Raw genomic sequence first — 23494 nt, 5'->3', positions numbered from 1 at the left:
GTGTTCAGGCACTGTTTACTTATATTAATCACAATGATCATGCTAATATCCTGTAATCCTATTATTATCCCCATTTAAAGAAGAGGAAACAAGCTGAAAGAAACTGTCACTTTCTGGGATTTATAAAGCTAACAGAGCTGGGCTATAAACTGAAATCTGCCATTACGGTTTCCCAAGCCCATGTTCTTTAATGCCATGCTCGCGCCTCAACTAAATACATTTGCACCCACACCCATCCTGGCACCCTGCCCTCCTTTAAACATGGAGGAGTTACTGCGGCTACTCCTATCAGGGTTCTAGATTCTACCCCCTCTTGCATGCCTCAGTTCCCTCATTTATAAAACAGATCACCATTTGACAGATGACGATATCTATTATATCTGTAAGGTATTACAGGGATTAGCTTCTGACTGTAAAATGCTTGGCATGGTCTCTGGTACTTGAAAAGGACATGTGACTGATACCTATTAATAATTATATTAATAATTATGCTGCCCAACTCCTAGTTTTTAAAAATCTTCTCTCTCTTCATTTAAATGCTGTATGCTGTTTCTTCTGTGTTCCATTACTGGAACACTAAGCATGTGGGAGTTACTTATACCCTGTTGTTCAAGGTCATCGCCAAGGTCTGATTGCAAAAATTCAAAAAATTGCAACCTTAGGCATAAATGGGTTAAGTAAAAACAAAGTAAAAAAGCAAACTACAAAAAGATCTGACTTTGATGCTCTTCTCTAGGTATCATTTTCTTTCCCTTCACAACTAAACTCCAGAGTTATCTACACACGTTATTTCATTACTTCTTCTTTAACCTTCCTTCCATTCACCTTGAGGCTGTTCAGTTATTAATTACTTTTCTTATTAGTCCATTAGCCCCTTTTCAAGCCCAATGTTGCTTGCTCCTATTTTGGCAATGCTAACCATTCTTTCCTGCTTAAAATGCTTCATGACACTGTGCTTTCTAAGTGTCCCTTTCTCCTCTTTGGCTGGTTCTTTTCAGTCTCCTTCAGGGGCTGTACTTCCTTTACCTGATCCCTCTCAATTCTTCCTCAGAGTTCCAAATCCTGGCTCCCCGTTACTCTCAGTAAATACCATCCCTCTGGTTGAACTTAACCTACGTATTCGTTCTGTTTTTGTTACACAAATATTTAATGAGCGGCTATTACGTGACGGGTTCTTTTTAATAAGCACTGGGGATAAAAACATGCATGACTGCTGCATTAGTGGTCTGATTGGAAAGAATGCAAAATGTGCATGGAATCATGAAAGCATATAATGAGGTCTGGCCTGGCTAATGTGATCTGGGAAGGCTTGAGGATGTAATCAATAAGTTGTCAATGAAAAAAATAAATAGGAGTTAACTAAGTAAAATGGGATAGAAATGCTACATAGCATGTGCAAAAAGGCCCTGTAACAAGAGAAAACGTGGCTTTTTAAAACTTTGGAAAGCTAGTGGGACCTAAACAGAGAATGAAGGAAACAAGCTGGAGAGTAGAAAGACCAGCCTTGCCAGCCACATTGCAGACTTTTAAAATTAGTACCGAACGCATTTCAAAAGTGTAGAAAATAAAAAACTCAATAGAAAGGTTATTATATAAACTGGAGGAAATTGCCCAAAAATTCAAAAAAGGAGATTTAAAAAAAAAAAGATTTTTAGAAATTGGAGAATCAAAAGTTGCTCCAGAGAGAACACTAGAAGCAGCAGAGGAGAAATCTAAGATATTATTCAAGAAAAGATCCAAGAAGTGAGGGGAGTAAGTTTACAGACTGTAAGGGCATTCTGAGTGAAGAGTATAATGGATGGAAAGAAACCCGCATTAAAGGACATCACTGAAATTTCAGAACCCTGTAGACAAAGAAAAATGCCTATCCATGTCCAGGGAGTTGGGGATAAAAAGAGATCATAAACAAAAGATTAAGCACTGAAATAGCTTCAGATCTCTCACTGAAATGGAAGCAATGCCTTCAAACTCTGAAGGACATTTCTGAACTCTCAAATGTGAGAGACGGACACATGATCACACATGCAATGTCTTTAGAAATGTACTCTTCCTCAGAAAGCTAGCAGAAAGCTAACCATGTGGCAGAAATGTAATGTATGAAACATTTTTAGTAGACATTATGATGTTATGGCCCAGAGAGTAAAACTGAGACTGCTTGGGGGGTATCACATAACATATTTTTACCCAATAGAAGGAAGAGGTTGTAATAGTAAGAGAAGTTAAAAAATGAATGGAATAGCCCTGCAAGTGTAATTAAGCATAGATAGTTTGACAAGTTAGTAGTGACTACAATTATGGGAGAATATGCTACCCACGGCTTCCAAAGGTTAGTTGGATTAGATGATGATTAAGGTGTATTTCAACAAAAGTATTTTGTAATTCCTCTATATAAAAAAGAGAGAGAGAGAGAGAGAGAGAGAGAGAGAAAGTGAAAAAAGGCAGAGAGTAAAAGCAGCAAACAATGCCTTTAAGGCATATACTTTTAAGCCTATATGTGCTTTTTTCTATTTATGAAACCAACTTTAGAGAAGCTAAAATATGTAAAAGTGATTCTAGTATAATCTTTTTTGAGCAATGAAGCTGTAAGTCAGGATAGGCAACAGAAGCATAAAAATATGAGCAAAATACTATATTTAATTTTGGGTCATTTAGAATCCTTCCCTGAGTTTTAACTTCAGCATGCCAAAACTGACAACACTAAAGCCTTATAGAGTTGGTGTGAGAATTAAATGAATTAATAAAGTGGTTAGAAGAGTGCCTGGTATATCAAAACACTATGTGCGTATTAGCTATTATTATAAGTCAGTATTAACTTTTGGATTAAAGAACATGGACTCTAAAGCCAGACTGCTGGGATCAAATCTCAGCTCTTCCACTTACTAGTTGTATAGAAACTTTAGGTAATTTACTTAACCTCTCTGACCCTCAGTTTCCTCATCTGTAAAACAGGGATAACAGTACACATACCTCACAGGATTGCTGTAAAAATTCAACAAAGTAAAACATGTAAAGGTCTCAGAATAGGACTTGGCACATAGTAATGCTACGTTAGTGTTAGATGTTATTGCTATCCCCTTCTGACTAAAGTCAGAACTTCTAAAGAAGTTCCTTCAAAATTCTCAGCTCAAAGAACACAACAATGAATGGAACAAATGCCTTTCCAAAGTGCTAATTATGAAGTATACGTATCTGTTAAATGAATCAGGTTTTCCTGTTGTCAGAGACATTGCAAAATTGGAAATGTATAATTTCATGAAAAATGTTGCTATAAATCATGTTTCTAAAAGAAAAGCACAAAAATGCATACATAAAAGAACTCTAAGGCCAGGCGCGGTGGCTCATGCCTATAATCCCAGCACTTTGGGAGGCTGAGGTGGGCGGATCAACTGAGGTCATGAGTTCGAGACCAGCCTGGCCAACATAGCTAAATCCTATCTCTACAAAAATACAAAAATTAGCCAGGTGTGGTGACGCACACCTGTAGTCCCAGCTACTCAGGAGGCTGAGGCAGGAGAATTGCTTGAACCCAGAAGGTGGAGGTTGCACTGAGCCAAGATCACACCACTGCACTCCAGCCTGGGTGACAGAGTGAGACCCCATCTCAAAAAAAAAACCAGTGCTCTAAACTCTTTTTATCCCCCCTAAATCACATAAAGGAAAAACAAAAATGATTTTATTTTTAGAATGCAAATACTATACCAGACCTTGCATGTTTTGGGGGACTGGATCCACATGAAACAGTGATGAATCCTGCCTGACTCTAGCAGGATTGATTTCTCTAGAGCAGGCTAATTTCTTTTCTGCTCTTACCTTTTCCTACTCCATACAAATATCAGTTAATGTGAATATAAAATATGCCTTATCTGTCATAATTAAAATAAATTTACTCTTCTCATATCACTTGGTATTAATATTTTTAAAAAATATTATATAATACTGTAGTCCTCATGTTTAATCCATTATCTTTCTTATACTATAATCTTAGAAAGGATAAAGAACACCAAGGCAGTGAGGAAGGGGCTATAGAATATTAAATACCTTACCTGAATGTTACTGCTTTCACAAGGAATGACACTGCTTTCAGCAAGAGGTGACATGCACATATGAGAGTTTTCAATACTGAAGGCAATGCCACTTACAAAATCAGTCATGGGTAAACTGCCATTATCAACCGGCTCCTTAATCCAAGTGGTCTCATCTGCTATCTCTATAGGATCAACCATATCCACAGTGTTATTGTCTTTCTCCCTTTCAACATCCTGCAACAGTGCTAATTCTTTCTCAGAAGCACTGGACTGATTTTGTGTAACAGACATGGCAGTCACAACCAAATGTGTACCATGGGTAGAAGCCTCATTACTAAACTGCCGTAGGTGTATTCCAGCAGCATCCATGGCGGGTGATGAGACATCTGTGGAAGGAATATTCTCTTTATCTTCCTCATCTTCACCTTGAGTCTCAAGAGTAAAAGGTATCTGAATCACTGAGGTCCGATACTGAGTACCACCACTATACATCTGAAGTCTCATAGGAGACCAATTTTTAATTGGCGAGCAGCCATCTATATAAGGACTTCTGATACACGGATTAGTTATCCCATTAGAATTTGTTCCAGATGAAGCATCAGGAGAATGAACAGTAAACTTCCTTTGTTCTGAAAGGTGGGAAGGGAAAAAAAATCACATCATAAAAACATGAAAATGGAAAAGTCACTACTAAATGGTAATCATGTTTCATGCCAGGAAAAACTGCATTTCTGTAACAGTTGTGTTGTTTACCAAAGTGAAATTGTGATGTCAAAAACAATAGCACAAATGGAAATTGCTAAATTTCCTTTGATAGTGTTTGATGTAAATATTGCTAATTAAAGTAACTATATTTAACACTACAGTACAAACTGGTGAGAATTCCAGCCTTTGAAGGTAAACTGTTCTTTTATTTAAAAATCAAAGTTCCTAAATGTTAGAAGGTTAGTGATCATTTTGAGCTCTATCATTAAGACAAATTAAAAGAACCTCTCTAATAACAAATATTGATAGTATAAAACTTTTAACTAGGTATTTTATTATGAGACATACCTGAGAGTGGAGTCTCTCCTATCTGAAATTCAATTGGTGAGAAAGTGGGTGAAGAAATAGGCGAAGGACTAGTTATGCTTCCCAAGCTGTATTTTTTTGCACTAGCCTGAATAGGGCTAGAAGAAAACTGCCCCTGTAATAAAATTAAATAGTAAATAAATGTATATGGTTCTCTTCCTTAACTCTTATGCTGCATGCTATTTATCATGGTCTTCAAAACACACTTATAAACTAGTAATAGTTCACGAGAACCACCAAAAGACACCTTGCAACAAAGACAACTAAGAAGATTGCTACAAAAATTCTGAAATAGTATCAAATATGTTAGTCAAAATATAAACACATTGTATTTGAACAAACCATTAAGTTTCACACTAAGCAACCATCTGTGAAAAATTTTTAAATTTATTAATGCCAAGCCAGTTGTATTATACTGTAAATCTCACACACTTTAGTAAATAACCTATGCTGAATTTCCTTGAGACTCATGATAAATCTGGTCATCCTGTACATATCTAAATACAAAATTGAAGAGTCTGACCTAAAACATCCCTATGACTAATGATAACATACGAACTAGAGTTAGTTTCTGTGAAGCATAATACTCAAAAGACAACCATCCCTCCTTCTGAAAGCAATCTGGGCAGCTCACAGGGGTGTCCAAGGGAGAGAATACAGTCATGAGTTCTTAGTTTCTGTTTCTGGTTAGGCCAGTAAAGGCCCTTCCTCATCCCTCTTTTCCACTTATTTACTAGAGACAGAAAGCAACCATGGCTTCAGGCTGCTGAAAGCCTAAGATAGAACAACAACAAAATGTGGGTTCAAGCTTGACAGCATATTAGCCAACTGCTTTTTAGTATACTTCTCACCGAACTTGGTGTCTGCAAGGGGCTCCTACACTTTACAGGAGACAAATCTATTGAATAAAACATCTCTAGTGATGTTTGAACACCACTGTGAGGACTTCCGGGAGAAGCCGAAGGTAAGGAGTCGGAGATGCTTCCGTTCCCATCTAAAAACAGCTTTCTTCTGAGGGATGAAGAACTGAGGTTTCCAGGAGATTGATCTGCAAATTCATCAGCTCTAAAATAGTCACCTATATTTAATAATAGGAGAAAAGGCAAAGCTAGTCATTTTAAAGGGCAATTATACTTCTGTTACTCAACTTTTAAGAAGCCAGCATGCACTATGTTTGAATTTTTTCCCAAAAAGAGGGCAAAGTTTAATTGCATATTTGATGTTTTACATCTTAAATTATTCCTTAGTTTTTAAGTGCTACATTGTTAGTATAATATCAATAAAATGTTTATAGTTTCTGTCTATAGTAATAAAGTTCACTATGATAATAAGGCTAGTTCAAACCATGTTCAAGAAAAAGAGAAATTTCAGGGCAGTTTCCCCACTTCTTTAGAAAGAGGCACTGCCACATATTTCCCATGTTACCATTTACAAAAAGCCAGCCAAACAAAACCTTTGGTTCAAGTTATTAAAAGTTTAAACAAATACAGTATTTACCTAATATATTTTCTAAATTAAAATCCACAGGAAGAGACAGCAATGTCTGACAAGCAGCTGGAAACAAGCAAATAAATAAACAAATTCAAACATGGGATAAATCAATGAAAGTATACACTATACAATTCAGCATGTGCTGCCCAGTCAATCATCTCCCCGTGATGTTCCAGCCAAATGGAATTATTCATTTCTGCATTCTATCACATACCCTGCCACCTTTCTAGAAGTGGTTTCCCACACTCTCCGCAACTGGTGTAAACGTGTTAATAGTAAAAGTTAACTCCTGGCTCTGGTACTGGCACTTGAAAAGGAAGCCAGCCTATATCTGGGGGGAGATTTCTCACATTAACCAATTTTCAAAAGAATGCTTTCCAAGACCAGAAATCAATTCACATGCTTTGAACAAGAAAACAAAACACTAGTGCTATTTCTAAAACATGGCTGGATGCATCTGTTCTACTATACTTGTTTTTAAAGGTCAGCTCTCATATGGTTATTATGTAGCTCATTGAAAAAATCCAAACAGGCCAGGCTTGGTGGCTCATGCCTGTAATCCTAGCACTTTGGGGGGCCAAAGTGGGCAGATCGCTTGAGCCCAGGAGTTCGAGACCAGCCTGGGCAACATGGCGAAATGCTGTCTCTACAAAAAAATACAAAAATTAGCCAGGTGTGGTGGCGGGTGCCTGTAGTCCTAGCTACTGAGGAGGCTGCGGTGGGAGGATCACTGGAGCTCGGGAAGTCAACGGGAAGTCAAGGTTGCAATGAGCTCTTGATTGTGCCACTGCACTCCAGCCTGGGTGACAGAGTGTGACCCTGTCTCAAAAAAACAAAAATAAATTAAAAAAAAAAAAAGGAAACAATTTCAATTCCAGAGTAAAGTGTTACTACCTGAACTGGGTTTAGAATTCAATGTAGCTTAATATGGAACATCCTTCTTTTCAAATTGTGTTCATACTCACCATCGCTTTTCTCAGAATGAATGGTCAGCTTTTTTCCAACTGGAGAGTCACTATTTATGTTAGTGCCTGTAAGACATTTTAAGTGAAAAATCCTATGTTTTATACTCTTCATTTGCTTTAGCATTACTTTTTCCAAAGTAAAAAATTAAGAAAGTGGAAACTTATTTTGCAACATTAAAAAAAATCTGCATATATAAGTATATATTTTGGTATGTTTCTATTATTTTTTTACCTTTGAGGGAATACAAGGATAAAACTAAAGGATTACCACAGCAAATAAGGAGTCACCAAGCAATATTTTTTTTACATTTTTCTTTAAATAATTGTATACATTTATGGGGTACAATGTGATGTTTCAATATATGTATACACTATGACAAGAGCAAATCAAGCTAATTAACATATCCATTGCCTCAAATACTTTTCTTTGTGGTGGGAACATTTAAAATCCACTTTCAGCAATTTTGAACTATATGATACCTCATTATCAGCTATAGTTACCTGGCTGTGCAACAGATCACCAGAACTTATTCCTCCTGTCTAACTGAAACTTTGTACCCTTTGACCAACATCTCCCCCACCACCCCTCCTCCCTACCGTCTGGTAACCACCACTCTATTCTCTACTTCTAAGAGTCTGACTTTTTTAGATTCTACATATAAGTGAAATCATTCAGTATTTGTCTTTCTGTGGCTGGCTTTTTTCACTTAGCATAATGTCCTCTAGATTCATATATGTTGTCACAAATGACAAAATTTCCTCTTTTTTAAGGCTGAATAGTATTCCATTTTGTGTGTGTGTGTGTGTGTGTGTGTGTGTGTGTGTGTGTGTGTGTATATATATATATATCACATTTTAAAAAGTCCATTCATCTGTTGATGGACACTTAGGTTGACTCCATATCTTGGCTGTTGTGATTAACGATGCAGCAATAAATATGAGAGTGCAGGTATCTCTTTGAAATAGTAATTTTGGTTCCTTTGGATAAATACCCAGTAGTAGGACTGATGAATCCCAAAGTAATGTTTTTTTTTTAAGGAAATGATGATTACTCTTCATGACGTCAACCTTAAAAGGTTAGGGATACCTTTTAGCTACCCTCAATGTCCTCAACAGATTAAAATGCCAGATTATTTTGACAAAACCTGAAATTTGATCAATAAAACCATATAGTTTCTTTCACAAGAAGAGTTAAAAATATGGGTGCAAATTATTTTAACTCTAAAGTTTTATAAATTGAAAAATCACCAGATTAAAAAAACTCAAAAACCAAAACCATCTCAAAAAGACTAATATAAGTAAGATAAAAGGAAGAAAAAGCAAGGGGACCAAACAAACCCCCCCTCCCCCCAAAACCAGAAACAACTCAGGAATTCTAAAATAAAATGACAAAATAGAGTGTAGTAACCTAACAATTCTAAATTTTAAAATGGGTAAGTGGGTTGCTGAATAAATTAAATTTCCCTGTGAAATACTATCAAAACGGGTAAATAAAGAAAATTTTGGATGCAGATGACTTTGTCACTGCATGCAGAGTGACCTTCTATAAGGCAGATGTAATCAATACTCTCTCTGCCTAAAACCCTGCAATAGTCTTTAGGATAAAATCCAAACACCTCAATGGCTTACAAAGCCTTTCAAAACCATGTCTATTTCTCTAGCATGGTTGCCATCTAATTAAATATTATTTGAGTACCTAAAACAAACAAACAAGAAACAGGTATCTCTCTCATCTCTAGGTATTATCTTATGCTCTCTCCTCCCTGCCTTTTCTCCCCTGCATTCCAAGAGTCTAACTCAAATCTCAGCTTAAATTTTATCTTCTGCCAGCATGCCTTCCTTGCCTTCCTCAGACCAGAAAGACACCTACAGCAACATTATCACATCACTTTTCAACTCTATTCCAAGTGTTTTGGTTGCTTCCCCTAGAAGGGCTTAGACAAGTTTAAGACCACAATCAAATGAGGAAAAAAAAAAATCGATGGATTTGACTGCACCAAAATAAAAATTTCTATGCAACCCAGGATATCAAGAACAAAGAGTAACATACATATGACAGAATGGGAGATAACATTTGAAATGTTTAAGACCAATATAACCACAATATGTAAGGTATCTTAGAAATTAACAGGAAAAAAAAGGTTAGCAACTCCAATTGAAACATATCAATGAATTACAAATAGACATTTTCTATGAAATGTAAAAGGTCATTAGTCTATGAAGACAAAAAGAAAACTGAAACAATCATTTAGAATGTCAAATAACCTATAGGAAAGGCAAAGATGTAAAAGCTGGATAATGCCAAGGGCAGGCAGGGATGCTGGGACACAGGAACCCTAGGGACTGCTGGGGCTGTGCAGACTGTGCAGATATTCTAGAGAGCACTCTAATACTGTGTAGTCAGATTAGGTAACGATATATTCTATAACTCAGAAATCCTCTACCTGCGTATATATCCCAGGGAAATTCTCACTCAAGTCCATAAATAAAAACACATGAGGATATGCACTGAAGCACCTTGCTGCATAAATATTAATAATAGTAAATGCTACCAGCACAAGCTAACATGTATAAACAAAACCACTTTTCCCCTCATTCACCATTTTATTTGTTAATCTTTAGGTAGATAACCAAACACCATGTGCTAGGTACATTATCTTAGAGGTACCACAATAACCATCATTTTATAGATAAGGAAACTGAGGCACAGAAAAGCTAAGTAACTCATCTAAAGTCACACAGCTAGTGAGCTTTACTGGGTACAATTCAAACCTAGATAATATTACACTAGAGTAAGGGTCAGCAAACTATTGTTCATGGTGCAAATCTGGCCTTTCACCTATTTTTTTAAATACAGTTTTACTGGTACACACTCACATTCATTTACATATTGTCAGCGGCTACTTTTGTGGTACAGCAGTAGAGTGGAGTGGTTCCAACAGAGGTTGTGTGGTCAGTAAAGGCTTAAGTATTTATTATTGAATCCTTTACACTTAAGGGCTGCCAACCTTGGCCCTAAAGTAGCATCCAATAGAACATTTTCTGTGATGATGGGAATGTTCTCTATCTATACTACTCGATATCCACATGGCTATTGAGCACCTGAAATGTGAATATTGTGAATGGGGAACTCCATTTTTAAATTTAACTTTAAATTTAAATAGTCACACGTGGCCACAACTGTCAAGAACTATAAAGGGTCTAAGATTCTACCCAACTTGGCAACTAACAGGTGAACATGTCAAAGTTCCATTGGTGCTGGCTAAAGACATGAGGCTTCTGGGGGCAGAGATAAAGGACTTTATTATTTTCAGCACAGCAGGCAGCATGAACTTAACATTCCTATTAATTCCCTTTGCTCCCAAGTGCCAAGAAGATGACATGAAACAGTCCAGTGCAGTGAATTCTTATAATTCTGCATACAAGCTGGACTTTCTCATACAAAAAGCAGGGCTCATTCACCCGACACAGTTTCCAGTTCTATACCTCAATGTGGTTGATCCAGATATCTGCCTTATATAAATTCCTCCTGGTAACCACCTCCCTATGGGCCATCTACATATGGCCTACCTGACTGACCCCCCAACCCTCATACCGCACATGGACTACACAGACATGCCACAGTGACTATCTCTCAGTCACTGTGTGACCTCCTCAATGCATGCCTGCTTGCTTTAAACCCACCAACTAAAACTCTGTTTGGATAATGCCCTGGACCCAATAAAGGCGTTGGCCCATGGGTCCCTTTCTCTCTCTTCCTGACCTCCCTGTGTGGTGTTCAGGTATGCTGTGTACCCCTAGGACTTGTAAGTAATAAAATTTTTATTTCCATCTTGTGTCTCTCCTAATCATGGGAGGAGTGCTCTCTATCTTAAAAGATTCTAAATTAAAATACCCAGGTGGCTGGTGGACACACAATGGGTTTTCACCATAGCTAAGGAACCCCAAGCTTAGGAAATCCCATTCTTTTAAGAGAGACTGCAAACAAATCTGCTCCAGAGGGAGACATCATCTTTACTATACTGGACAGCAAAACAAACTTACCCTCTGCTCTGGTGGGACACACTATCTCTACCTTCCAAGACAAACACCCTAGAAAAGATAGTTTGGAACAGAACTTGTCCATGCCACTTCATGAAAGGTGTGCAGAAATGTGAGGCCTATGGAGAATTGTCTCCCAACAACACAGTAAACAGCACAGCTCTGGAGCCTATCCTATTAACCACTGCACTGTTATCGTGGGCTTGATTAGATTTCAAAGAGTCTAAAGTGTTTTTAAGCATCTTCTTGATCCTGCATCACTTGAACTAAAACAGGATACTTGGAATACAAAAATGTTATTTAAAAAATCACTTAAGAAGGTTGATTCATCTGTTGAAAAAATCCAACAGTAAAGAATCTGGGGGTGAAAAACTAGTATCTATGAGAATGCCACCTTGGACACACAATTTTAGAGCTGGGGGGATGTAAATGGACAACTCTAGTTCAATCCTTTTATTTCACAAATAAAAGACTGAGGTACAAAGAGAATAATTTGATCAAGGTCACCTCTCTGGTTTATAAAAGTAGGAGGTTTTACAATCCAGATTTCCATCTACTATTGCGTGCTACCACTAATTCATAATGGCTAAGAATACAGCATCTGATTTGAGAATTTTGAATTCAGGTTTTCCCACTTTTATCATCTCTGTAACCCTGGACAAATGCTCTCATCTTTCTAAAACTAGGTTTTCTTACCTATAAAATGGGGCCAATAATTACACCTACTTCATATGAGTTATAAGAAATTACTGAAAGCACTTAGCACTGTCCTGGCATAGAGAAAGTACTAACCCAGCTTACCTATTATTGTTGTATTATTATGTTGTGTTTTTTGATAAAGAATGGAACAAACATTCCCTCTTATACTGAGAGCATAATTAAGGTATACTACAATAGACAGTGTAATTCCACTGTGATGAGGGATGCATATATACAAGTGATTCCTGAATACTGCCTCACAACCCAAAGAGCAGTGAGAACAAATATATGACAACCATTGCCTGGAGGTAGAAAGATAATTGTTAGCTTACTGGCTTGCCCTTTAATTTCCTTATTAATTTTGCAGATACTCAGCAATAATACACTGTCCCAGAGGTCATATTAAGTCTTCATCCTTTCTTTACCTTTATAAGAAATCAGCAAATTAGCAAAAGGCAACACAATTTACGGTTTTATCTAAAATATTAACCTTCAAAATACTGCTAAAGTCATTAACAACTCATCTCTATATTCAATACCAACTATTTCTTCATCTATGGATCCTCTATAACCATCATTATAACTGACATTCACAATAGTCATGAAGAAAAAGTTAAATTCAGAGTATAACAGCTAAAAAACAATTCAATAAATTTTAGTCAAATTTTTAATTCTAACCCTAAAAGGAGTTAAATTCTATGTTATCCAGAATTTTAAAGCAAGCTTCTTACAAAGCAGATATACTGGCACTTCATGATATGTTGCTTTATATTCACCGACTTTTTTGATTTTTATTCATATCATTTTTAGTACACTCACATTTACTGGAATGACATTGTGAAAGCTGTTTCCCTTCATGATCAGTCCAAGGAGAGGGTACGATGACATCTTTAGTGAAAAACTAGGAAAATTAAAGTCATACAATTAGGCATAAATTCCACCCAAAATGTGAGACGGTACCTGTGTTTTTCCAAGTAATTATTAAACATGTCATATACTAACTTTATAACTGTATGCAAAAATTTTAATACAAATGACCAAAGGAAAAATGGAAGAAATTTAAAGTATATATAAAGAGGAATCTTAATACTTCAAATCAACCAGTTAAATTTGAAACTTGCAAACTAAACTAAGAGGATTAATCATAGACAAAGTATTTTAAATTTCTTTCCCAGGTTTTTTTGATGGGGTTACAAAAAAAAGGATGAAAAGGGAAGGAATATATTAAGACAGAGACATGCAAGTAGGCCAGTATGAATGACGGCACTGAAGCTGGCTTGTTTGTTCTGGCTCTCAAGATCTGATTATTAAATTTTCAAGAATTCTGTGCACCAGTTGTTAAAACCAATATTAAAAATAAAATTATGTAAACTTACAATTAAATATATTAAAAATAAAGGTAACAAATATCCAAAACTCACCACTTGCTAATTATTTTATATATTTATCAATGTCTATGCTCTTGAGGTTAATAATGTATTTTGTATCTGTATGGTGGAATTCCTACATATAATGGTGTGCCACTATTCTTCCTTTCCCATTCAGTGATGTCACATCAGTAGCTTGAAACTGGCCATGGTTGGAGTACTTACACTATGGATAGCAGGAATCGCTATAAATCGTACTCCTTCCACGACCAGAGAGCAAGTTGTTAAACATTCACCAGCACACTACTGGCCAGTATATTCAAATGAGATAGAGCATTTGTATACTTTTCTTTCCTCTTTCATTTCTACCACAGTGTTTTCCCTTCCCTAGGTTTTGCAAGTAACCAAACATATTTTCTTCATATTTTGCTATACATATGACAAAGAGCTAATTTTCTTAACTAAATTACCCATGAATCTAAGAGGAAAAGATTCTTTTTTTTTTTTTTTTTAAAGGTGGACTGGGGCAGATATAGACAATTACCAGAAAAAAAATTAAAGGACCTATAAACTTACAAAGTGATGTATAAGTTCACTCAAAAGTAAAGAAATACAAAAAAAAAAAGTCATTTTTAAAGTAATAGGAGTAGAACAAATTAAGAATTCTGATAATAATCAATATTGGAGATATGGAAAATCAAGCAGTGTCACACTGTAATCAGGAGTATAAACTGGTATAACCTTTTAGGAGGGCAATATGGTAAAATCTACCAAAACTGAAAATTCACAAAGCCTCTGACTTACTAGGTCCATTTCAAGAATATAAAGATATATATACAAATCACTGCAGCATTATTTGTGACAGAAAAATAATAAACACAATTTAAACATCTGTCAACAGGGGCTAGGTAACTATGCTGTTGCTAAGAGAATGTAAAAATCTGTATATGCTGGTTATCAAAAATTTCTAAGAAAAATCATGAAGCAAAAAAAGGAGGATGCAGTATGAGAACGATAATAGTATGAGAATGATAATCCTATTTGTCGAAAATATTTTAAGGACATATGCTATTAAATAAGTAAAATTAATCTGAAAGTACACATAAGAAATGTTATAGTCATTACCTTCATGAAGTGGGATGGGGAAACAGGAGGCTTTTTATTTTATATTTTTTCTTTTTGTTTTTACTATATGTATATGTTTCTTCTATTTTCAAAAATATATATTGAAAAGAAACAAATTTTCTTAAGTTTACCTGCTGGGTTTCTCTTTAAAATTAAGGATTCTTAAAGAAAGTATTTTTTCAAAATGTTGGAAATTTTGAGAGTCTGAGAATATTCAGGTGGGGAAGAACCAAGTGACTGAGTCAGAATGAAAACTGTGCAGTTACTAGATAGAAGAAGAAGTAGGTAATGTTTAGCAGGAGTAAACATAGTCTTTTGTGGTACGGAAGAGCCAAGTACGGCTAAGGAACAGAGGAGGGTTGAGGGGGCTAGAGGGGCAGAAAAGTAAAAATCAGAAATGCTGCCATCACATAAAGACTTTCTGAGGAAAGAACAAGGTAAGTAACCCTTACTTAGATGCTGGGCCAGGCGCAGTGGCTCACGCCTGTAATCCCAGCACTTTGGGAGGCCAAGGTAGGCGGATCATCTGAGGTCGGGAGTTCGAGACCAGCTTGACCAAGATGGAGAAATCCCGTCTCTACTAAAAATACAAAATTAGCTGCGTGTGGTGGCGCATGCCTGTAATCCCAGCTACTCGGGAGACTGAGGCAGGAGAATCACTTGAACCTGGGAGGCGGAGACTGCAGTGGGCTGAGATCATGCCATTGCACTCCAGCCTGGGCAACAAGAACGAAACGCCGTCTCAAAAAACAAAAAATAATAATAATAATAACCTTATTTAGATGCTAAGAAAGGCAATTCAACAGACATAAAAAAGCAAAAAACTTAATTATTTTTATTTTTTAGAAAGCCTACATTATGATATACCTTTCCTGTTTAACAGTAAGAGATTTTATTTCATGAATATCTTAAAAATCCAAAGTATTAACAAAAAAAGACAAAGCCATTCCCAATGCCAATCTAGACTCTGAAGGCCTGAGAATATTCGACTTCCTCTACATAAACTCCAACTTGAAACAAAGTTTGTGCTAATCAACATTTTGAAGGCACAAGGAAGACAAATTGTGCTAGGTCCTGAGAATGAAAGGATGAAGTACAGTATTGGCCAAAAAAGATTGCGTCTAGGGGACAGAAACACTAAACTGATCATTACAACAGTATGCAAGTGCTATGCAAGGTACTGGGATAGCTGGAAATTATTGGTCTTAGGACAGTACAGAAGGGTGCTTTATATAGATGGGACTGTGAAGGGCTTGGAGGGGAGATAGGACAGTGAAGGAATTGAAGAAAGTCTTCCTAAAAGAAGTGATGTACATGCAGAATTGATCCTTAACTGATTTAATGATCAGTAACAGTTTAAGTTACCTCTTCAATGGCTTTTTGTCTTTTGTCTTCCACATCTTTATCTATTCTATACAAAGATAAAGAAGAAAAATAACCATGCTATTACTTAAGCTTATTGAACATTTTAAAAAATAACCTTTCAAATAAATAATCTCCCTTCATTGAAAACTGGCAAATGTTAAGCTCACTTTATAATTAATACTAGTGGTATCTTGTAACATTTAGTAACATTTAGGCAGTATTCTGAAATTCAGCAGTTAGCTGTTAGGCTTACCTCCCTCTTTTCCATTCAAAGTTTGAATGCAATGATACTTTATTTCAAAAGACTTACATTGATATTAAATTGCTTTTAACAATATAAATTTGATAAACTTTGTCCCTTAATACAAATTAAGAAGTATTTAATTCAACATACATCTAAAAATTGTCCAAAGTTTTTCTCTTCAATTATAACAAGTTTATCATGGCAATAATTTTAGAATCAACTTTTACTGTAAAATAGATGAGGATAGTTCACAGTTCTAAACAGTCAAAAATATTAACTCTGAAATAAAACACTGACAATATAACATTTTTTCCAAATGAATTTTTTTTTCACTTTGATACAATCTGCAATTACTGTTATATAAACTTCTCAGCTACAAGATTTAATATAAAATTTTGGGTCCAAGCACAAAGCATATACTTGCCAAGGACTCAGCAGTTAGCTTTCTAGGACCACTTCTTTATTCCATTACAGGAAAGAATCCTTGCCTTCCATCAGTAAATTGGTAAGACATATTTTTTTTTACAATTTAAAATTATTTTGTCTCAGAATTTTTTCTTTAACTTTTATTTTAAGTTCAGGGGTACAAATGCAGGTTACACAGGTAACTTGTGTCACTGGGGTTTGTTGTACAGATTATTTAATCATCCAGGTATTAAGTCTAGAATCCATCAGTTATTTTTCCTGATCTCCCTCCTCTCACCCTCCACCAGGCCCCAGTGTGTGCTGTTCCCCTCTATATGTCCACATGCTCTCATCATTTAGCTCCCACTTATAAGTGAGAACATGAGGGGTTTGGTTTTCTGTTCCTGTATTAGTTTGCTAAGAATAATGGCCTCCAGCTGCATCCATGTCCATGCAAAGGACGCGATCTCATGCTTTTTGTGGCTGCATAGTATTCCATGGTGTGAATTTTTTTCACATATAGACTTGCTCATGGCTTAATAAAGCTTATATGAGAATGTATACATTTCAGAAATTAAGTAGATTTTTCAAGTGGGAGAAGTATGAGAAAATAAACTACAGTGTCAACCCACATATCCCAGCTTGAACAGTAGCCATTTTGAGGATAACAAAATGGCCTTCATCTTATCAATGGTTCTCTTCATCTTATCATGGTCAAAATGGCAGCACATAACAAGCTTAGCAAATAGCAAGTAAGCTCTGAACTAGGATTACTGCATTCAGAAACCTTTTGCTACTTCATCAGAGGGACTTCAAGAACATGAAATACTCAGGTGATTGCTGGAAACTGTAAAAATCACTGTGGCCAAATACTCTAGAGTCAGATCAAACAAGATTCTAAGAAGTCATACAGGGGAGAGCATCCTGACCAGCATACCACTGAACACCAGTATGATGCATATAGGTATAGGTGTGGCCTGAATGTTGAGCCTTTGCAGGGTGGCAAAGGAGAGGGGACCTCAGGACTGGTCACCTACATGGCCAAGACTCACCTGCTTACACTGGTATGCTTTTCAGTTACAATTTTCTGTGTGGATGGTGGCATGAAAAGGATGGGAAGAATTGAAGTAGAGGGCTAATATGTAAGAAGAGATACTGAAAGACACTGCTTGTTTCTAAGGATGAAACGAGATGCTCTGTGAAGAATATATTGACTATCCTTGGTAGAAGCCATAACCATTCATTGAATTATATTATTAAATTAAATTATAATATTTTCCCACTCTTTTCCATTCTTCTATATGATAAATCTATGTACTAAGAGACACCAAGATTATCTTTATAAACCTTTGCAGACAATATATCATTTAGTAGTAAGAACAGAAGCACTGTGTTACAACTTTGGTCTAATTATATTTTTGACTCTTGACTCTTAGTATCTTGTACTTCTTCAGTGTTTCTTACAGTCCCTCACAGTACTCAATAAGTATCTCTTGACTGATCAATATAATAATTGTCCATCATTCAATATATTGAAGAAATGAGACAAAATAATTAAGCATAATTAAGTTCGTGTGAAACAAAAAATTAGTCACTGTGACTCATTTGCTTTTAGATATTCATCTCACCTTCTCTTTCAAAGGTATTATTTATTTACTTATTTATTTATTTTATTTTTTTGAGATGGAGTCTTGCTCTGTCCCCCAGGCTAGAGTGCAATGGCATGATCTCAGCTCACTGCAACCTTTGCCTCCTGGGTTCAAGCGATTCTCCTGTCTCGGCCTCCCGAGTAGCTGGGATTACAGGTGTGCACCACCATGCCCGGCTAATGTTTTTGTATGTTTAGTAGAGATGGGGTTTCACTATGTTGGCCAGCCTGGTCTTGAACTCATGACCTCAAGTGATCTGCCCGCCTCAGCCTCCCAAAATGCTGGGATTACAGGTGTGAGCCACCACACCTGGCCTCAAAGGTATTATTTAAATTTAAGTTAAAATCCTTTCATGCTTCATCCTCATTCTATTCCCTTCCTATTAACACTCTGGGTGGACATTAATTTTATGATTGAATGGTCATCATGTTACCAAGCAAAGAGAAGATGGAGGAGAAAAGCCAGTAAGTATTTACCAGAATATCTCAATATGTGTGCAACGTTGTGTGACTGAATTCTTAAGTCAAAGGGAAAAGGATTATCCTTTGTTTTGGACTAACAACATGTCTACCTTAGGACAGCAAATTAAAATCTGGTCATACCATGTATTTGATTTTTTTCAAATATTAAAAAATCAGACTATAAAACATATAAACAAGAGTCCCTAAAACTACAAAAGAATAATAGGACCTTACACTTTGTAATAAAAAACTAAATCTGCAGTACATTAGTGCCTTGAAACCTAAACAACACATCAACAAATAAGACTGCACTGGGTGATATGTAGAATTCTAGAAAATGTAATTCAGATTCCAAGTGAATTGTTACAGTTGGATGATGTCTAAAAAACCGCTCTGTTGCTAATGGATACCCTTCCATTCAGTGCATACGTAACTCTTTGAGGGGGTTTTAGGTTTCCCCAAACATAGATAACAATGAAACAGCATTTTGCTTTACCCCAAATCATCAAAAAGACAAACTGAAACAAGTTAATGGCAGAAGCCACAACCATGTAGAAAAGTGCAAATTTCAAAATGTTCTTCTCTTAACTGAGTGCTAGGGGTACAGAGCTGTCACCTCAGTAGCAGAGGGAAAAGGTTACTTGTAAAAGAAAAAGGTATCTACTCAGGTCTGGAACTGTTGGCAAGAAAATCTTTCTGAATGTAGTTCTTTGAACTCATTCATTTAGATAGAAAAAATCTGCATCAAAATTTTTTCTCCCTGATACCTTTACATAGAAAAATACTCAACATTTAGAATTTCCTACCTCTCTTCACTTGAGAGTGTTATTAGACTTAGGTGCAAGAAAGGAAAACTTACCGAGAATGACTTAAGTATAAAGCTTGACGATGAATATCTTCTGGGTCTATTTCTACAGGATTTATTACAGCTAGTTGATCAATAGACCATCTAAATTTCCCTGGAGTCTTAACAAAAGAAAGTGAGCTTATGAGTAAAGGCAAACTAAAATAGTTCATCAAAATGCTAACCTATGTGAGAAATAATATGAATGGTTATAATATGAAAATATTTTAAAGCTTGTATTTTAAAATTTGACTTTACCATGAAATTAAATGGCAAAGGGTAATCATATCACATTCGATCAACTGACTTAATTGTATCTCTCTCTCTCTTTGTTTAAGACAGAGTCTCGTTCTGTCACCGAGGCTGGAGTGCACTGGTGTAATCTCAGCTCACTGCAACCTCCACCTCCCCGGTTCAAGCGATTCTCCTGCCTCAGCCTCCTGAGTAGCTGGGATTACAGGCACCCGCCACCACACCCAGCTAATTTTTGTATTTTTTTTTTTTTTTTTTTTTTAGTAGAGATGGGGTTTCACCATGTTGGCCAGGCTGGTCTCAAACTCCTGACTTCAAGTCATCAGCCCACCTTGGCAGTGCTGGGATTACAGGCATGAGCCACAGCGCCCAGCCTGTATCTCTTTTAAAATATCAGAATCTTTCACCTGGGTTGGAATTACGTAATACGAGAAAAATCACAACAGAGTAATAAAGATATAAAACTTTCACAATTAACACTCATCAGTGTGATAAACTAAGCCCATGTAAAAGTAAAAATCTCTCACAGTTAACAAACGTCTTTACTTTCACTAAGAAGGAACTGAAATTAAAGTCCTTAGTCACTTTGGAGGTGGCTGCAAAAGCTCACAACATAGTTGATCCTTAAAATAATTATGAATGGCAACCAGTGCTGCCTTTCTGTACTCAACCATGCAACTGAATTAAAGGTTTATCCAAATCCTAATCTGTAATTAGAAATATATTCTAGGCAAATTCAGTCCTAAAAACGCAAGATGCCATACATTCCAACTTTGAGGATTAAGCTGCCGTCAATCTATTATTTATTTTTAGTAAGACCAAGAGATAAATTTTAATGATTCAATTAAAAATCATAAGGTCAGATTGATGAAATGACTCAATATAAACTGCTCGACCTTCCACTAGTACATACTTGCTCATTGTAAAACCTGTATGAAAGTGTAGCAGAAACAGCCACCCTATTTGCAGTTTTTCTAAGTAACTTGGTAGGTTGAAAGATCCAAGGTCAAAAGAACTTATCCAGTGTAGCAAATAACAGTAAAATAAGATAAAGTGGCCCGGGCATGGTGGCTCATGCCTGTAATCCCAGCACTTTGGGAGGCTGAAGTGGGTGCATCACATGAGGTCAGGAGTTCGAGATCAGCCTGGCCAACATGGTGAAATCCCATCTCTACCAAAAAAAAAAAAAAGATAAAGTGATGAAGCCTTTTCTAATATCCTGAAGAACACTTTTCCTTCATATTACTATTGTCCTAAGTACTAATCATATCACCTATCACACTGCCTTGATATTACTCATCTAGTTCTGTTTAACACATTAAAATAGGGGTTAGTTTCTTTTTATAATAGATTGCAAGCTAAGAATTATTTTGACAGTTTCAAATGGTTGGGAAAACAAACAAAAAAATATCTTGTGACATGTGAAAATTATATGAAATTCAAATGTGTCCATAAATAAAGCTGTATTGGAACAGAGTAACATTTATCTCTTTACACATTGCCTATGGCTGCTTTTGTGATACAAGACAGAAGTGAGTAGTTGTGACAGAGACCAAATGACCTGTAAAGCTTAAATATTTACTGTCTGGCCCCTAACAGAAAGTTTGTGACCCATACATCGGAGTATAACCTCCTTAAGGATTTGTGCCTAATGATCCTAACTTGTTCACAGTGTAATCCCTGCTTAGCACTGTATCTGACACATAGCAACACTCAAATAATGTTTGCCAAATAAGTGAGAACAGAATATTAGATGATGCAGCTTCTTCTCTAATGTATTAGTAGCTATATCGTCAACCACAGAATGTAGCTACACCCACAACTGCAGGAAGCTAACGTATGTTCTTGAACTTAAAAAAAAAAAAATCTTCTAGCTAACTTATTAACCTAACCACTAGATTATAATGAACACTACAATTTAAAAAAGTATATTGCAGCTATATATGCTCCATAATGTATTTCCTCCTTACCTTGTAAAGACAGATGTTTACATTTAAAATTATTTGTAATTACTTACATTTAAAATTAGTTGTAAACACTAGTCAGGAATAACTTACTGGTAATTTTGTTGATTTAAAAACAGAAGGACTGGCGAGAGTTTGTTCATGGAGATTAGAATAATCACTAGGACTTTCAAAAGGATTTAAAACAGGGATCCTTCCTGGAGTTTCTGGTGTTATTTGCATCTTTGATTCCTTGACATCTCCCATAGCACAGAGAGAAAACTAAAAAGAAATCAAGAGTATGCATGTTAAAATTACAAAGTCCCATAGATATTAATTTTAACTATTAAAATGTACTCGACAAATGTGTCACAAAAAACAACTCAAAACCTCACACTCTTGGGGCTATGATACAGCTTACAAAAAAAGTATCACATATAAATGTTCTCAACTGATCCTCGAAACAACCTTGAAAGCTATAGCAGTAACTTACTAGTGATATTATTTTGCGAAAGTATTAAGCTCAGAGAAGTGAAGTGGCTTATACGCAGCAATCAAATATGAATGAATTCAGATCTGCCTCTGAGGAAACTAAAGGTTACAACAGGCCCAGATCTCTTCTCAACTAAAGGACTTATAGCTACAATTTTTTTTAAATTCATCATCTCATGTCTCAACACTATGAACATTCTTCGGATACCCTATCCAACTACAGTTGCTATTAAACAATTCTTTGTAGCAAGCAGGTAAGAGATGAGGAAGCTTGTGCCTTTCTTGCACATGAGTCCTAGCCAGAGAAGTATGATTGACAGGGGCTAGGAAATTAACTGCCTGGGGTCCCCTTTCCTCCAAAAATCCTCCTTTCGCCAAGACCTCCCCTCCACCCCTCCCGGGATAGAAAGGGAGACTGCATTACTTGCAATCAAAGGAGGCTACAGAGGCTACACCTTGGCGGGGTGGGGTGGAAAAGAGTCTACTTCTGGAAGGTTGAGATGCAGCCGGCTTCCCTGGATGGAGTGCGAAGGAGGCGTCGCCCCCAACCCTACGTGGCCACTCTTTCTGGTGCCCCTCTCTTCCACACCTACTCCCTGACTGCTCCCATTCACCAGGGGCGAGCGGGCAGGCAAGTCAGGAGCTGGGAAAAGAAACCTCTCCATTCAGACAGGAGGAAAGGCCAGGGACCACAAAGAGCGTACCTACCGGTGCGTACAAAACGAAGCCCCCAGTACCGACTCCAGGGAGCTCCGGGGGCCAGGCCAGCTTCCACGACAGGCATAGACTCTTTAACTCCCCGCTTCCGCGCTGTCTTGGGCCAACCAGGGCACGGGGCTTGTGAGCGACTAGCCAATCGTGTCGTCCCGCCATCCGCGAACCAGCCAATCGCACGGAGGCCGCGTAGGAAATTCGAATGGCAACTCCTCGCTCCACGTTCCGCGCAGAGGAACGTGGCTCCAAATTCAAATCAACGCAGCCTCACGCCGGCGGCGAGCGCGAGGGGCGGAGCCTGCCCGGCGTGGGCCGAGACGCGCTGTGTGATTGCCTCGGAG

General features: G+C 36.9%; 1 protein-coding gene across 4 annotated transcripts in view, besides 2 other annotated features; it reads right to left on the bottom strand.

Annotated features, from left to right (window-relative positions):
• The window catches only part of BORA (BORA aurora kinase A activator), a 28274-nt gene extending 5042 nt beyond the window's left edge, over window positions 1-23232 (bottom strand). Inside the window, exons 1-10 of one of the 4 annotated variants that reach the window (NM_001286746.3) lie at window positions 22895-23232; window positions 22062-22229; window positions 19768-19874; window positions 16150-16195; window positions 13112-13193; window positions 7553-7618; window positions 6594-6650; window positions 5948-6174; window positions 5079-5211; window positions 4044-4654 (exon numbers count right to left, since the gene is read on the bottom strand). In NM_001286746.3, the coding sequence (NP_001273675.2) occupies window positions 4044-4654; window positions 5079-5211; window positions 5948-6174; window positions 6594-6650; window positions 7553-7618; window positions 13112-13193; window positions 16150-16195; window positions 19768-19874; window positions 22062-22214 (1482 nt within the window). In that variant the 5' untranslated portion in view covers window positions 22215-22229; window positions 22895-23232. The remainder of the gene's footprint in view (window positions 1-4043; window positions 4655-5078; window positions 5212-5947; window positions 6175-6593; window positions 6651-7552; window positions 7619-13111; window positions 13194-16149; window positions 16196-19767; window positions 19875-22061; window positions 22230-22894) is intronic. The other 3 variants (NM_024808.5, NM_001286747.2, NM_001366664.2) reach the window with 3 other exon arrangements.
• Window positions 22951-23000: an enhancer, noted in NCBI's record as "active region_7814". NCBI's record gives its function as "activates an Ori minimal core promoter by ATAC-STARR-seq in GM12878 lymphoblastoid cells {active_cell/tissue: GM12878}" and the evidence as "EXISTENCE:reporter gene assay evidence [ECO:0000049][PMID:35858748]".
• Window positions 23211-23360: a silencer, noted in NCBI's record as "silent region_5395". NCBI's record gives its function as "represses an Ori minimal core promoter by ATAC-STARR-seq in GM12878 lymphoblastoid cells {active_cell/tissue: GM12878}" and the evidence as "EXISTENCE:reporter gene assay evidence [ECO:0000049][PMID:35858748]".

This window comes from Homo sapiens, chromosome 13 (assembly GCF_000001405.40).
Source record: "Homo sapiens chromosome 13, GRCh38.p14 Primary Assembly".
Taxonomy (NCBI): Eukaryota; Metazoa; Chordata; class Mammalia; order Primates; family Hominidae; genus Homo; species Homo sapiens.
The sequence above is the reverse complement of the archived record's forward strand: the minus strand, read 5'-3'. Positions and strand labels throughout refer to the sequence as shown.